Source organism: Homo sapiens, chromosome 2, assembly GCF_000001405.40.
Source record: "Homo sapiens chromosome 2, GRCh38.p14 Primary Assembly".
NCBI lineage: Eukaryota > Metazoa > Chordata > Mammalia > Primates > Hominidae > Homo > Homo sapiens.
This window is the reverse complement of record NC_000002.12, coordinates 160,060,802-160,062,821: the sequence shown is the minus strand read 5'-3', so window position 1 is coordinate 160,062,821 and position 2,020 is coordinate 160,060,802. Positions and strand designations below refer to the sequence as shown.

The following is a 2,020-nucleotide window of genomic DNA, read 5'->3' as shown; positions in this document are numbered from 1 at the left end:
TCTTCGGCCTCCCCCAGAAAGGAGAGAGCAGGGCTGCAAGCTAGAGGAGCGGAGAGTGTGACCCGAGCAGCCTCACTCCGCCTGTCCCCACCCCAAAGGCAGGAATTTCTGGGATGGGCAGATGGCCCACCCCTCCTCCTCCTCCTTCCCCAAGCCGCAGTGGGTGGGGCGAGGAAAACCTCCGCGACTTTCCCGCATCCCAGCCCAGAGCCCCGAGTGTCGGTTCACTGTGGAGACAGCGGTGGCGGAGTGGGTCTCCAGGGCTCTGGGCTGGCAAGGCCCCCGGAGGGGGTGGGGCGCGGAGGAGGCTACGGATCCGCTTCCGCGCGGCGGGGCCGGGTGCTTGGGACGCGGCTCTGGGCTCCCGGGATAAGGGGCTCCCGGGACAAGGGGCTCCCGGAGAGCCCAGTGGTTAGCGATGCTGCTGTCGCCGTCGCTGCTGCTGCTGCTGCTGCTGGGGGCGCCGCGGGGCTGCGCCGAGGGTGTGGCGGCGGCGCTTACCCCCGAGCGGCTCCTGGAGTGGCAGGGTGAGTCTCCCAGGGTCGGGGACTGGATCGGTACGTTGGGGAGGGGGGTCGGGGTGGTCGAAGGAGAGGAAGAAGGGGCGAAGCTAGGGGCCAAGCTGGCGGGCAAGGGCGGCCGCGTTTGTAGGGGTTCGTGTGTCAGCAGTCCTGAGCATGGGGGGAGCGGGTGGTGTCCTGCAGCCTCTTGTCTAGGCCCAGCACCCCACTTGCGCGGCCCGGCACCCTCCTGGCTCCTGCGGGGGTCGGGCGGCGGGGGCGGGGGGGCTTGGTCTCGCAGGTAACTCCTCTCGGCTCTGGCGCCCGGAGCCAGCCCGGGATAGGAGTGTCGGAGAAGTTTCAAAACGGAAACTTTCTGAGAGCTGCTTATTTGGGACGGATAAATGATAGCAAAAAGATGGCTCAGTTCGTCCCCTTGCAAAGCAAGCGCTCAGGGTCTGCGTCGCCACCTAGGAGTGACCCCCAAGCCAGGCCTCCCCAGTCCATCCCTTCCTTAAGGAAAACTTTTTTTGTTTGTTTGTTTTTTGAGACAGGGTCTTGCTCTGTCGCCCAGGCTGTAGTGTAATGGCGGGATCTCGGCTCACTGCAGCCTCCGCCTCCCGGGGTCAAGCGATCCTCCCACCTCAGCCTCCCGAGTAGCTGGGACCACAGGTGTGCGCCCGCACGCCCAGCAAAATTTTTGTATTTTTGGTGGAGACGGAGTTTCACCATGTTGCCCAGGCTGGTCTCCAACTCCTGGGCCCAAGTGATCCGCCCACCTCGTCCTCCCAAAGTTCTGGGATTACAGGCCTGACCCACCGCACCCCGCCTGAAAACATCAGGCCAGGTGAGGGAGAGAAGCCCCAGTGGCTCCATGAACTGCGTGATCTGAAGCCTTTATGCCTTAGTCTCTCTCAGTGGAAAAACGGGGTTCAATTCAGCAAACACTTATTGAGCACCTACTACACATGAGACTCAGAAGGTTGTGTAAAGAGAGGGAGGAGAGATTTCTGGCCTGCAGGGGCCCGCATTTGAGAATGGGCCACCTCAGGCAGAGAAGCCTGCGCCTAAGTGCAGAAGTCCATATATGCAAGTAGGAGGGGGACAGGAGGGAGTTAAATATGCCAGGAGGAGCCTCCAGACAGCCTCCATCCTCTCTGCCTTTGGAGATAAGTTTGGAGAGAAGGGGTAACACAAGATGTGATCAATATCTGCGTTCACATTTTTTCCTCCACAGTAGAATATGTCTACATTTTTGAGGTAGTCTTTTCTAGACTGTGTTTCCTAAGCTCCCTGGAGGCTTAATCAGGGGCAGGTAGAACAAGACCATTCTTATTCTAAAGTGACCAAAGTCAGAGATGCTCTTACCTTCTTGGTCAATTCAGAAAATTGCTCCTGTGGATGCACATCTGATCCTGTAGTATGTATGATTCCTTCCCACTAAGTTTACCATGCAGTGGTTATTCCTTTGCATTTTAAAATGTGGGTTTTGCCTGGGCACTAGGTGGTAGAACAGGGCA

General features: G+C 58.9%; 1 protein-coding gene across 16 annotated transcripts in view; it reads left to right on the top strand.

The window, feature by feature from the left end:
• The first annotated feature begins 206 nt into the window (after positions 1 to 206).
• PLA2R1 (phospholipase A2 receptor 1) overlaps positions 207 to 2,020 on the top strand; it is a 138,683-nt gene continuing 136,869 nt past the window's right edge. For all 16 annotated transcript variants that reach the window (XR_922892.4, XR_007071491.1, XR_001738672.3 and 13 more), the window contains exon 1: positions 207 to 527. Coding sequence is in view for 11 of the 16 variants with exons in the window: in XM_047443729.1 (XP_047299685.1) it covers positions 419 to 527 (109 nt within the window). In the remaining 5 variants the exon portion in view is untranslated. The remainder of the gene's footprint in view (positions 528 to 2,020) is intronic.